The sequence below is a fragment of the Homo sapiens genome, chromosome X (genome assembly GCF_000001405.40).
Source record: "Homo sapiens chromosome X, GRCh38.p14 Primary Assembly".
NCBI lineage: Eukaryota > Metazoa > Chordata > Mammalia > Primates > Hominidae > Homo > Homo sapiens.
The window spans coordinates 109,660,953-109,676,071 of NC_000023.11; the positions used below are offsets into that span (position 1 = coordinate 109,660,953).

Sequence of the window (15,119 nt, forward strand, 5' to 3'; positions counted from 1 at the left end):
TAATGGGTATAGAGTTTCCATTTTGCAAGAAAAAAAGGTCTGGAGATTGGCTGCACACCAATGTAAATATACACAACACTACTGAACTGTACATTTAGAAATGGTTAAGATGGTAAATCTTACGTTATATGCTTTTTACCACAATTACAATTTTTAAAAAAGAATAAAACCCATAAAAATAAGACATATCAACATATAAAGAAAATGGCTCAATCTCTTAGGCTTTTGATTTAGAAAAACTTGGGTTCAAAATTCATCTCAACATGTAGTAGTTGTGTTACATTTTTGGGAAAATTACTTATACTAAGTCTCAGTTGTCATGGATGTTAAATGAAATAACTTGTTGCATAGCTAAGTATTTAGCAAGATGCAGGTGTCCAATAAATAGTTAACACGTCTGAGTTATCTAAAATGATCTTTAAGCTGTTGAATTCACTAACTTACATAAATGTACAATTCCCCAGATCTGATGAAAATTCTAAGAGAAGACTATGTTACCCTTATGATAATATGTAATCACATTATTTTCTAAATATCTTTTGACTTACGAAACAAAAAATACAACTTTGGAAAGTTACCTTTTGGCAAAAGCACAGATGTTGTCAATAAGTGGACAATTCTTCAGTGCAGCTTCTACTTTCCCAAGAGATACATACTCTCCTGCTTGTAACTTCACTAGATCTTTCTTACGATCTGTTAAGTCATAAAGAATGTTAAGTCTGTTTAACTAAGGTATATGCAATTCTGACTGTCTTCTTTGAATATCATTGCCTTAATCGTTATTTACAAAACTACTTCTTCTAAAATTATTATTAGGTTGGTGCAAAAGTAATTGTGGTTTTTGCCATTACTTTTAAAATGGCAAAAACTGCATATATATAATGTTGCCCATACACACCAGTTAAAAATAAAATGCCTACTTAAGTAAGTATTGGCTAAAAGTTACACCTTAAACCCAAAGCTTTAGCATCTTATTATAATCTTAAATATTATAATCAATTTAATAGAGGGAACTAGGACTTTGGAACATTCTATCTGAATGGTAACTCTGCCTGGTACTAGCTAAGTGATCCTCGGCATGTCAGTTAACCTTCTAATCCTCAAGTTTTATCAGGATAATGATGCCTACCTCATACAGACATATCCCACAATGTCTGGCATATAGAACACATTTAACACATGTTAATTCTCCTTTTCCACTTTTGACATTATCTTGTTAAAATGACAGTTCTCTAAGAAAGTGCTAGCACAGGATGGCACAGCTTGAATAATCATCACATGGCCTTGGAATGAGTATGAGTGCTGATTTGCCTACCCGTAGCCTGGGAACCCACTCTACAGAAATAACCTTTGATTCCAGTGCAATTAAGGAACAAGGGGGAAAAAAGCTTATTGTTTCTCAACTGAACCATGGTTCCTGGTTCAAATTTCTAGATGAAGAACCAATTTTCCCAGGAAATCTCTAACTATATTCAGGTCAGATATCGTGAGGTCCAGCGATGGATTGAAATCAGTCACTACATATAGGTGAGGAAACTCTATGTCTTAAAAAAGACCTGACTGGGATCTTGCTGAGGGGTTCTCATCAGCAAGTTTTAACTTTTGCCTCATCCAAGTGAATAGCACAAGGGCCCATTTTGGAGTCATTTTTTGAACATAAAGGTCCACTTCAGTAGACTCAATGAGGACAATGCCAAAGTAACTGACATTCTCAGAACTGACTAGTGCTAAGGATTGATATTAATTTTCTAAGGTTCAGGCCTCGTTAGACACATATAAATAGCCAACAGTAAAAAAAAATATATGTGCCCATGCTGCCCCTTGGGTGGAGAGGTGAAGAGTGAGGAAGGCCTAGCATAGAGTATGTTATAGGAAACAGTTATATAAAATCACATGTGGTTGACCAAGAAAGACGTCCTCTGAGCTCTTTTTGTTTTCTCATTACCTGTTTGCTATTTCCCTGCCCATTCTCTCTACACTCAATGCTGCTGTTGCTAGTGCTGCTAGTACTTACGCTAAGGTTCAGGCTCTGTTTAGAATATTTTACATATATCAACTCATTTAATCTTAACGACAGCCCTATGAGGTTGGTATTGTCCTTGTTTTGCTGATGGAGAAGCTCATACATAAGTTAAATAACTTGTCCAAAGTTTGAACTAATGGAACCATCAACTTTATTAATGACTGATCAATATTACCTTTCATATATACTGAAGTTATAAAAACTAAAGAAAACCATAAAAAGAAAACATTCTGACCTATAATCTGTAAACATCCATCGGGATGGAATTCTCCAATATCACCAGTGCAAAACCACCTTTGTCCATTTTCATCCACAGAATAATCTTCTGCTGTTTTCTCTTCATTTTTAAAATATCCCATGGAGATGTTCTGTCCACCAATTACGATTTCACCTCTGGGGTTTGGCTTGTCATTAATTGTATAACCGCCTGGAAATCATAAAAGTAAATTAGTTATTGTTCTACAACAAATTTCATTAATTCTTAAAGCTTATACGTATGTTAGTATTTTTCTGCTGATCAGATTTTATATCACTTTATGAGAGAACATTAGTTTATATTTACTAAAATTTACATGAGGATACTGGGTGACTGTGATTTTAAGAACACCAAGAAAGGCTCAATGATAATCACCACCAACAATCACCCATCTCAAACCTTCCCATACCATAACATTTCACACTTAGAACACCATTAGAGCTTAGTGTTCACAGAGTTCTGTTAAGATAAAATCACCCCCAGGAAGAGTAACACTTGAAGCTGTTATAAGTAAATTACTGACATACTGATATCAATGCATTTCAAATTTTTTCTAAGGAGGTTTTAACCAAAAAGAACATGCAGTAAGTACCCAAAAATGGTAGCATCATAAAGTGAGAGGGAAAGGGGGGACTATGGGAAACAGGAAGAAAATTGTATTAATTTTGCCTGTGGCCAGTCATGACTTTAGAAGTTCAAACACTAAACTAATTGATAATAAATACTAATATATTTCATCACTACTCATTACCTCTGTATTACTGAAGGAAGCTTACTTTAAGGAAAATATACAAAAATCTAAATTTGCAAAATAAGATATAGACTAGATTTTGTGTCATAAAAGGATTAAAATCAGGGTTCCTTTCAGCTGTTAGCTGCTCTGATAAACTTAAAACTATTCAATATTTCAACATGATAAAACCCATTGTATGTTAAAAAAAAACTGAGATCATTCATACAGTATAAAGCCAAAGAGTCTTCACAGCAAGGAAAACTCCAAATACATGTTCAACAAGGGACCTACTCCCCAAAACTGACATTAAGGCCCAGTACCAGGAAATCAGAAAATAAAAATTATAGTAAAACTTGGTAAGGAGATTTTTGCCTTTAAACATTTCTCTGATTCCACTGCCTAACAATTAAAAACTTACCTAATAAAATAATTCTGATGTTGATGTCCAAAACACATACACACAAACTATTTTCTTCAGATTTTCATGGTAAAATTGGAATGCCATTACCATGGAAAAAGGGAAGACTAAGTCCCAAGGTGTAAAACTCTTGGGAATGCAACTGGCTTTTTAAAATGTGTTTTTAAAAAAGAAATAGTCATTTGCTCATAAAGCACTGACAATAACACACATAATAAAAAATGCTTTAGAAACTTAAAGTTTATGTTAGATAAAAACGTATTCATTTTCTCAGGGTTTGGACAACCTAAGGGTTGCATCCTACACGGTAACTTGTACTTTAAATTTTTAGTCCGTGTTCCATCCTAAGGTAAATATTCTCTTTTAAAATCTTAAGCATTTTAATTACTCTTCCTTTATCTGACATGGCTAGGCTGTTAATTATTTGTTTTATTTAACAATCTACTTTATTGTAGTTACTGTGTATATTTAGTATCTTTCATTAAGAAGACTGGTTGATATTTGCCTTCAGCTAATTTATAGAAAGGATGATCATCAATGTCTCTAGTTTTCTTCTAAGTGGCTTGTCTGTGCAGGTACATATAAAAATTCAACTATACAAATAGCTGGACAGTTGAGTCTCAACTATGAAAATCTTTTCTGGGATCAAGATCTAAGAAGTTGGTGTGTGTATGAGTGCAACCCATCATTCTATCCCCTAAAAATCTGGGGTTTCTCAGCCCAAACATTCTCACTAGTAAAGTCAAGTTTCAAGGATCCTCACCTTCTCCAAACCCAGAAAGCTCCAGTAAGAATTTTTTTTCTCTTTACCTTCAAGTATTGTCAAGTTCAGAATCATTAATCCTAGATTCTAGAGATTTTATTTTCCTCTTGGGAACCTAAAGATATCACTGAGGAAAAAGAATGCATGGGGACAGGCAACAGCAAAACAGCAGAGAATTATTTGCTTCCCCAGACTTTAAAGAAATGAAAGTCATAAAGCTGACAGTAGTTTTCAGCATATCTTGAATCACTAGAGCTTTTCATAAAATTCTTACCTTCTTGCCAGTCTTTTAGCTTAATTTCACAGCAAATAAGAGGTGCTCCAACTCTGCCAGTAGTATAGTCAGTTACTGTGAGGGAAAAAGTAACAGAGATATTAGCATACCACATTCCAGATTTGTACCAATGCACTGGGAATATTAGAGTTAGAACCAGAGTCAGAAAAATGACAAAAGAAGGAGTGCAAAGTGTGATCATTTTTCAGTATTTCAACTCCACTTCAATAGTGCAATGGATTCCATTGTTGTTACATCATTTTTGCTTTTCATGGTTATATTTTATGTAATTAAGTACAAAATATCTGTTAAAGGAGGAGAGATGGCTCCACCGTTATCTACCTAAGCTTGTCATAAGATAGATTTTGATTGGAATTCCTGCTCTACCACTCATTGGCTATGTAACATGGACAAGTAACTTAGCCTCTCTAAGCCTCCATTTCCTCATCTATGAAATGGAGATAGTAACAAAACCTACTTCATACAGGGATATGCTGTGAGGATTAAATGAGATGATACATGGACAATGCTTAACACTTCTTGGCACAAGCTAAGCCTTCAAAAGATGTTAGCTGCTGTTGTCAAACATCATCATGATGATGATATCCATTTGCAATTTGTGATTATTGCTAGCAATAAACAAATATTTATGGACAGCCCATTATGTAAACAGCACATGAGAGATAAGGAGACCCTGCACTCAATGACCTTACAAATGAACTGGGAAGAAATGCATGTGAAACAATTCAGAGAACATTTAAATACTAAACTGCATGGGCACTGAAGGTAAGCACAATAGTAGCTTAGAGACTTAAACAATGAATGTAAAATGAAGTAGTTAGGAAAGACATTATTGAAAAGTGGGCATTAAAAGATGGTTGTGATCAATAAGCAAAAAGGACATTCCAAGAGAAGGGAAAAGAAAATACATAGAGGTGAGACCAAGAATGCCTTCATAAGAAACAGTAAGAAGACTGGTGGGTCTGGAGAGAAGAGCCAGGCATTGTGTATATGTGGGGAATAATGGAAAATGATGTTGGATAAGTACACTAGCATCAGATTAAAGATGTCAAAGCTAGGTAAAGAGGTGTTTAGATTTGATACATCAGGTATCAAGCAGTGGATGAGGTGGATGCATCTAATAGAAGGATACAGGATAAATCAGAAGTGATGTAATGTAGGCAGACACAGCTGTTACAAGGCTGTTAGGTCAGGGCAGGCGCAGTGGCTCCCGCCTGTAATCCTAATACTCTGGGAAGCTGAGGTGGGTGGATCACCTGAGGTCAGGAGTTCGAGACCAGCCTGGCCAACATGGTAAAACCCCGCTTCTACTAAAAATACAAAAATTAGTCAGGTGTGGTGGCACACGCCTGTAGTCCCAGCTACTCAGGAGGCTAAGGGAAGAGAATTGCTTGAACCCGGGAGGCGGAGGTTGCAGTGAGCTGAGATTGTGCCACTGCACTCCAGCCTGGGCAACAGAGCAAGACTCTGTCTCAAAAATAAAAAGGCTGTTAGGTCGGAGCAGAATGGAGCAATAAAAAGTTGGACGACAGAGGTGATATGGAGGGAAAGGAGAAACCTAATGAAGGAATGATCTGATGACATTTAAAGATATTTTAAAATAAACAGATGACTTCAAAGCTGATACCTGGAATGACTTTAAGGATGGTATCACCATTGACACAAACAAATAATTTGTCAATAGAGAGACAGTTTAGAATAATGGCATTGATTTTGGACACAATGAGTTTAAAGCGAAAATAAGATTATCCAAAAAAACAATTCCTATACCCCAGTGTTTCTCAACCTAAAGTGATTTTGCCCCCCAGGGGATATCTGGCAATGTTTGGGGATATGTTTCATTGTCACAGCTGGGGTGAGCCCATAAACATCTGCTTTGGCAACTAAATATTCTGCAATGCATACAACAGCCCTCAACAACAAAGAATTATCGGATTCAAAATTTGAACAGTGTCAGGGTTGGGAAACCTCGCTTCAGGCTGTTGAAAATAACAAAAGGGAAACCAAAGAAGAAGTTAGGACAGGAACACAGATTTAAGAGGGAGCATAAAAGTGATACTTCATTTTTAATAGTACAGTTCTCCAAAGAAGTGATCATTTAGAGAAAGAAGACTAAAGGACCAGGGTGACAGGATTTTGAGGACCGACTGTGTGGCATAAATATTTATAAGGCGACCGGGCGTGGTGGCTCACCGCCTGTAATCCCAGCACTTTGGGAGGCCGAGGCAGGCAGATCACCTGAGGTCAGGAGTTCGAGACCAGCCTGGTCAACATGGTGAAACCCCATCTAAAAATACAAAAATTAGCTGGGCATGGTGGCACACGCCTGTAATCCCAGCTACTTGGGAGGCTGAGGCAGGAGAATTGTTTGAACCCAGGAGGTGGAGGTTGCAGTGAGCTGAGATTATGCTATTGCACTCCAGCCTGGGCAACAAGAGTGAAACTCCATCTCAAAAAAAAAAAAAATTATAAGGCTTAAAATGAAAGGGTCCACATGATACTTATAATTAAGAATTCATAAACCAAAACTACACTGATTTGCAATGAATCTGATATTAGTTAAGAGGTATTTTAAAGTTACCATGGTTTCCAAAGGTAATGCGAATGTATTTTATTAGTAGCAGCTGATACAGAATATTTACCACATTAATAATGCTTACCTTCAGTAACTGTCCCAGCACCACATGATTCTGTCAGTCCATAACCCTGGCCAATTGGGCAGCAGAAGCAGACATTCATGAATCGGTGTGTCTGAGGAGATAGCGGGGCCCCTCCAGACAGCATCATGCGGACATTCCCTCCCAGCAGGGCCTTGACCTTTTTAAACAGTAACCTTAATAAAGGGAGGATAAATGATTTTAATGTACGCATACATTATTCTTGGCAACACACTAATTTATAAGCTCTGGGAAAGATTCCTCAACTGGTTGAACATCTCAATGTCAGAATCACGGTGAGAATGAGAGGTTAACAAGGCAACAACTAGTAACGCCTTGTAAAAATGCCAGAAAAAACTCTTTAAAAATGAAGAAAGATAATGTGTAGCATCGGGAAACTATGCTGACACAAGTAAATGAAAGAAAACAGACATCAGAGGTAAAAAAATTTTAATTATCTTTGGAACATTTAATCACCTATCTTATCTCACTTCCAATAAAAAATGCTTCCCCATCCCCACTCCTCAGCATCACATTTAAAATAAGTTATATTCATATACTTACTACACTATTTTATGAATACAATAAATCAGAAACCTTCATGCAATGGAGGTCACTTTTTTTAGTTAGAAATGACATTTTTTAAGCTCAAGTGTCTTGATTCAAAAGTCTATTTTAGTTTTTCTTCATGAAACTAAATTTTATAAATAAATCTTAAATATACACTCAATTATTAAAATTTGTTAAATTGCCAAGATCAGAGTCCTCTGCTTGCTGTATAAACAATAAGACTTAGAATAAAAGAGAATTTCAACCTTATGATCATGGTGGTGATATTCAAATGAATTAACTTGCCATTTATTTATTCATCTTCTGGATTTAAAAGCATAAAAAAATTTAAAGGCTCAAACCACAGAGCCTATGAAATGTACTTACAGATTGCAAAGAGGTGCATCATATCCCTTTTTGATCTGTTCCAATTTGTAATCATACCCTATCTTGAACAGAGTTTTCTGAATATAATTCATCTCTTGGACTTTGCTCATAACATTCTTATAAATTCTATCCATGATTTCCTGAAAGTTAAACAAAATATTCAATAATCTGAAAGGAATGGAGACAGTCTTTAGTTGAAGATACCTTACTTGCAACATCTTGGGTAAAAGTCTTTAGCATAATGGACATATTTGTTTCTTTAATTATGTAATTAATTTCACTGACTACTTGTTCACTACTTCAAAAAGACTAAGGACAGATATAGGGGTTTCTTCAGTTCTATACATTAAGTTAATCTAAATTTTTTTTTTTTTTTTTGAGACGGAGTCTCACTCTGCTGCCCAGGCTGGAGTGCAGTGGCGGGATCTCGGCTCACTGCAAGCTCCACCTCCTGGGTTCATCCCATTCTCCTGCCTCAGCCTCCCCAGTAGCTGGGACTACAGGCGCCTGCCACCACACCCGGCTAATTTTTTGTATTTTTAGTAGAGACAAGGTTTCAATGTGTTAGCCAGGCTGGTGTCGAACTCCTGACTTCGTGATCCGCCACCTCGGCCTCCCAAAGTGTTGGGATTACAGGCGTGAGCCACCGTGCCCAGCCAAGTTAATCTAAATTTTTAAGAAATGTTAGCTCGAGTTTAGAGAATTCACTCAGCTGTCGCAGAAAAAAAAATTAATCTCTGTTACAATATATTCACTTATTCTCAAACAGTACCAAAATACCTGACTATGTTGAATCTATTCATGATGCTTTTCTCTTTTTTTACTACAACTTTGTGACCTTCTTACAGCATGGCAGAAAGCATTAGTTTCTTAAAATCCTAAGTATCTATAGTTTAAGCATTTCTATTACATTTTAACGGAAGCAAAGAACACGATTCTTGCTCACACAAACTTGGAAAACTGGAGGTAGGACCAGGTTTAAGATATACCGACTCTAAGGTTAATACAAAACAAAACAAAAAAAAATAAACAGCAAACAGCCCAGACTACCACTAAATGATGTTTTCTTGAAATTATTTAACACAAATTAAGAATTATTACATAAAGCACATCTGTTTATAAATACGTGTTTCCAAATACTTAAAATATCAATTATCAGTACAAATTAAGGTATGCTATAATGAATAACTTAATGGGCAGTTCTTTCAATATTAGAATAGAGCCACTCACAAATGAAGACAGCAGAACCATCCCTTAAAAAGGTTACCACAGGCTGGGCATAGTGGCTCACGCCTGTAATTCCAGCACTTTGGGAGGCTGAGGTGGGTGGATTGCGAGGTCAGGAGTTCGAGATCAGCCTGGCCAAGATGGTGAAACCCCGTCTCTACCAAAAATACAAAAATTAGCCGGGCGTGGTGGCAGGCGCCTATAATCCCAGCTACTAGGGAGGCTGAGGCAGGAGAATCGCTTGAACCCGGGAGGTGGAGGTTGCAGTGAGCCGACATCACACCACTGCACTCTAGCCTGGGTGACAGAGCAAGACTCCGTCTCAAAAAAAAAAAAAAAGCTCTCCCTCTCCCTCCTCTCCCTCCTCTCCCTCTCCCTCTCCCTTCCCCTTTGCACGGTCTCCCTCTGATGCCGAGCGGAGGCTGGACTGTACTGCCGCCATCTCGACTCACTGCAACCTCCCTGCCTGATTCTCCTGCCTCAGCCTGCCGAGTGCCTGGGATTGCAGGCGCGTGCCGCCACGCCTGACTGGTTTTCGTATTTTTTGGTGGAGACGGGGTTTCGCCATGCTGGCCAGGCTGGTCTCCAGCTCCTGACCGTGAGTGATCTGCCAGCCTCGGCCTCCCGAGGTGCTGGGATTGCAGACGGAGTCTCACTCACTCAGTGCTCAATGTTGCCCAGGCTGGAGTGCAGTGGCGTGATCTCGGCTGGCTACAACCTCCACCTCCCAGCCGCCTGCCTTGGCCTCCCAAAGTGCCGAGATTGCAGCCTCTGCTCGGCCGCCACCCCGTCTAGGAAGTGAGGAGCGTCTCTGCCTGGCCGCCCATCGTCTGGGATGTGAGGAGCCCCTCTGCCCGGCCGCCCAGTCTGGGAAGTGAGGAGCGCCTCTTCCCGGCCGTCATCCTGTCTAGGAAGTGAGGAGTGTCTCTGCCCAGCCGCCCATCCTCTGGGATGTGGGGAGCACCTCTGCCCTGCCGCCCCATCTGAGATGTGAAGAGCGCCTCTGCCCAGCCGCGACCCCGTCTGGGAACTGAGGAGTGTCTCTGCCCCGCCGCCGCCCCGTCTGGGAGATGAGGAGCGTCTCTGACCGGCCTCCCCGTCTGAGAAGTGAGGAGCCCCTCCGCCCGGCCAGCCGCCCCGCCCGGGAGCTGGGGGGCAGCCCCCGCCTGGCCAGCCACCCCATCCGGGAGGTGGGGGGCAGCCCCCGCCCGACCAGCCACCCCGTCCGGGAGGTGGCAGGCGGGCGCCTCTGCCTGGCCGCCCCGTCTGGGAGGTGAGGAGCCCCTCTGCCAGGTCGCCACCCCATCTGGGAGGTGTACCCAATAGCTCATTGAGAACGGGCCATGATGACGATGGCGGTTTTGTCAAATAGAAAAGGGGGAAATGTGGGGAAAAGAAAGAGAGATCAGATTGTTTCTGTGTCTGTGTAGAGAGAAGTAGACATAGGAGACTCCGTTTTGTTCTGTACTAAGAAAAATTCTTCTGCCTTGGGATGCTGTTAGTCTATAACCTTACCCCCAACCCCATGCTCTCTGAAACATGTGCTGTGTCCACTAAGGGTTAAATGGATTAAGGGTGGTGCAAGATGTGCTTTGTTAAACAGATGCTTGAAGGCAGCATGCTCGTTAACAGTCATCACCACTCCCTAATCTCAAGTACCCAGGGACACAAACACTGCGGAAGGCGGCAGGGCCCTCTGCCTAGGAAAACCAGAGACCTTTGTTCACATGTTTATCTGCTGACCTTCCCTCCACTATTGTCCTATGACCCTGCCAAATCCCCCTCTCTGAGAAACACCCAAGAATGATCAATAAATACTAAAAAAAAAAAAAAAAAAAAAAAAAGTTACCATAGCACTCAAACATGGTACAATATTGTTTTCTCCATTTCCACAAAAGGAATCACTATTATATAACTGAAATATTTCTCTACATCTGTGACAGAATCCCCCATCATTCCCTAGCAGGACTTGAGCATCCTATATCCATCCTTCTTAAAAAGTATATGAGATCTTAAAAAAAAAATGGGGGTGGGGAGGGGAGAGGGGGCAGGGGCTTGGGAATGAGACAGATGTGTGAGAACCATGTCTACTGCTCCTTCCAGCACTGGATACTAATCATAGACATCAGCAAGGCCTTGATGAGTAAGGAACATAATACAGTTGTAACACATTGGCAGAGTTTATTGTTAGCACATTAAGTCACCCTTTATCTCAACCTAACATTACATGATGTTCAATGGAGCCACAGCTGATAAGTAGTGACTTATTCTGAATTTTCACTGTGAATGTTATAGTATTCAATCAATCTTTCATTCTGACCCAGGAAAGAAACAAACTCAAAAAACAGACTCTACCAAAAATAATTCTCAATAAAGAGTTGTTTTTTTTTTAAATGGCCTATTTCTGGAGAAACAGGAGGGGCTAAAAAGGAAACCCAATAATATTTGATGAGGTGCCAATGGACTAGCAACATAGGGAACATTACTATCTCGAGGCCGCAAGACATAAGACAAGTGTCATTGGAACCTGGATGAGGACTCTAGCCATGGGAAAGACCTGGTTACAACCAACGGGAAGGAGACTATCCAACAGGGTCTCCTGACAGCTGCTAAAATTTGCAGCCCAGCAGGAAAGGAGCAAAGGTAATAAGTGTGCAGACTCTCTATCTTTCTGCCCTCTGATCTCTCATGAGGCCCTCCAATTGGCTGAACCCAACCAGAAGTCATAAGGCAAGGATGCACTGGTAATTCGTGCACAGAACATAGCCCCTCAAGACACAAAGTAAAGCAGGGAAGAATGGACAATGGGCAATTAGAGGATAAGGAGCCTATGTGCTAACTGTGCTTATCCTTCAGGCCTAAAATCGGAGATTACTTCTTTAACACCTCAGCTCTTACCTCTTCCTATGTTATCTGATAAGGTTTGCTAGGGAATTCTGAATGTGAAACAGTCCTAAATAGACAGCCATAGTGGTTAAGAAGACTGATAGACTGATACTCCACCAGTATCAGATTGGTAGAGTTCAAACTTTGATTCCATCACCTATGAGCTGTGTGGCTTTGGGGCAACTTTCCTTCTTTATAAGATAGAGTAACAGGGCCCACCTTGCAGTCTTAGAATTAAGTGAGATAATTTATCTAAGGCATTTTGCACAGTGCCTACCTAGCACATAGGAAGCACTGCACTAGCTATTATTAGCAACTTTTTTATGGTTTTAGTCAGATGCCTCTTCTTTCTGTTTGAAAACTTTATGAATTACACAGAACCTCTAAATAAAAAGGCAAAGTCTTCTCTGACCTATTCTACTTCTTTGTTATTTGGTAATTTTGCAATTAGAAGCTAAAAGGACCATAAAGTATCTTCCATCTGTAATTCTCAGAACAACTTGGACTGAACACTTTCTTATCTAATCTCAGAGTTTCCATATACAAAAGTAATTCTGTGAAAGATATTGGGGTAAGATTTCAAGTCTGATCATAATATAAGCAGTAGTGATACATAGTCTTTCTGAAGTTTCTGAAGCATAAAAAAAGCTAGAACATATTTGATTACACAAATCTGAAACATGGTGTTAAATGTTTCAAAATTCATCATTACAAGGCTATAAAATGTAACATCTTTTTTTTTTAAGGCAGTATTTCACATGAAGATTCCGAATATATAGAATTAAACTTTTTTCCTTTGGGAGCTCTCTCCAATTTTCAGTTTACTTAATCACCATAAGAGAGTTGGGAGGGCTTAGATCCTTGACCTTGTATACGATTCTTCAGCTCCCTAGGATGGCCTAAAGTTTCCTCATTTTTTTAATTAAGAGATTAAACAAGATGATCTTTAGAATATATTCTACCTTAAAACGGTCTGACCAATTCTCACAGTAGGTAACCTGAACTAGGTCATTTTCATCACCTAATTTTCATGTATCAGCAAACTCAAACAGGCGTGCATTTCAAAATCTTGCCATTTTGTCTTCCCTAGTATGGTACCTAAGATTTTAATGAACACATTTGCTGTGATTTCAACAAGGTAAAATTATTTTAAAATGTAGACATATCTAAGAGTATTACTTTTTAAAAGGTCCAAGTACGATCAATAAATTATATAAACAATCCTCTTATGTTCATATTCATATTCTGTACTCACCGGAACAGCAGCCATAAGTGTGGGCTTCAGTACAGTACAGTCTCCTTTGCTTCCTTTTTTAATTTTGCTGGACTATATTAAAGAAAAAATAAATATGATCAGGAAAACCAACCTTAAAACATGTTGTAATTCAAGTATTAATAACAAATACAGAAGTTACACTTGGAATTTGAGCTTTTATTGCTCTGTGATTATCTGTTAACAACTATCATAACCTACAAGTCTCAAATGTAAGTATTTTAGTGCTACAGATAACTGCTTCTAGCACATTTCACCTTCCTTAGAGGAGAAACCTTGATCCAGGATAACAAGAGAATGACATTGTGATGAATCAAACATTCTTATTAATAACATACTATCAAATATAGCACAGACTATTACTACATTTTCAAAAAAACTTGATTAAGACAGATATAACACTAAAACAAAATTGAAGGTGATTTTAACTTTCTTTGATTAACAATAGGCAAAGCCACATCCTGAAGACACCACTATGAACATCAATTAACATCATACTGAAACTCTAATTTGGTAATATTCTAGTTGGTAAGATACTGAGAACACTGCCAGGGACAAAGTAGAGATACACATAAATGTGCACAAATGGCCATATAGAGGATGGTTCTCCCGATAGAACTAAGTTGCCTTTCTCCTACTTTTCTTTAATATGGATAAAGGAGATAAAATAACTCATTTTACATATGTGCAAGGATGTGCACATTTGCAAGTGGAAACCTACACAGAAACCATGTACACCACACACAGGAGGGCTGCTCTGCAGAAACAAAATGGGCTCTCATGTCCTTCAGGTCGGAGTTGCCCTCTGCATGCTACTGACCAGCTCTTGCTACAGAGAGCAGTTCCAGGATAGCAGAAGCCACAAGAAGCCCTTCTTTGTTTTTTTTACTCTTAGTAATTTTATCAGTTATTTTGTCTTCTTGTGATCATAGTAATCCTGGTTATGACAATATTGCTATCATCAGTTGGCTCCAAATGTGGTGCTTCTAGTCTCCTGCATCCTTCTGATTTCCTATGTGAAGCAAGTTCCAGTGTTTTAGATTCCTAGTAAGATTGAGAGTCTTTACAGTAAAGTTCATTTAAAAAGTAGGTGTGAATTTTACTGAACAGGCTTCTAATGTACTAGCTTAGCCTAAGAGACAGCAAGAATTAAGTCAGACCAGCAACAGACTCCAACTGTCCCTCCTTTCCCACACTGAGGCTATTGTTCTCAGAAAGGCAGTGAAAAATCAAAGAACGGCTAGTCCTGGCTTCCAAATTCACAAAGGGAAAAAAAAATTATACTCAAAGTTTACTGAAATGTTTTCTACATTTTGATAATGTCTCTGAGCATAAGAAAAACCCATGACAACAAAACATAATGATCAGAGATTTTACTAAATTTGTTTTAGAGTTTAAGCCTTAGTCTTATTGATAGGTCTACTTTGATTTCACCAGGTCAAGTTCTGCTATCAATCGGATAGTGTATTTATTCATACCATTACTATTCTAGCAGATTTTAAGTGTGAATTTATAGCTGAGTGGTATAGTCAAACACAGCAGCACCCTGTCATACAAAGATTGTGTTTCTTAAAGTACAAAGCTAGGAGTTGTTTGGAACAGAATGCGTTCTCACAGAAAAAGCCACTTTAAAAGAAGGCTGGATTCTTCCT

The 15,119-nt window shown here is 38.9% G+C and overlaps 1 protein-coding gene across 11 annotated transcripts in view; it reads right to left on the reverse strand.

Annotated features, from left to right (window-relative positions):
- ACSL4 (acyl-CoA synthetase long chain family member 4) overlaps positions 1 to 15,119 on the reverse strand; it is a 91,923-nt gene that overhangs the window by 19,618 nt on the left and 57,186 nt on the right. For all 11 annotated transcript variants that reach the window (NM_001437252.1, NM_001437251.1, NM_001437247.1 and 8 more), the window contains 6 exons: positions 13,450 to 13,521; positions 8,082 to 8,221; positions 7,149 to 7,321; positions 4,468 to 4,542; positions 2,259 to 2,450; positions 579 to 693 (listed from right to left, as the gene is read on the reverse strand). In NM_001437252.1, coding sequence (NP_001424181.1) covers positions 579 to 693; positions 2,259 to 2,450; positions 4,468 to 4,542; positions 7,149 to 7,321; positions 8,082 to 8,221; positions 13,450 to 13,521 — 767 coding nt within the window. The remainder of the gene's footprint in view (positions 1 to 578; positions 694 to 2,258; positions 2,451 to 4,467; positions 4,543 to 7,148; positions 7,322 to 8,081; positions 8,222 to 13,449; positions 13,522 to 15,119) is intronic.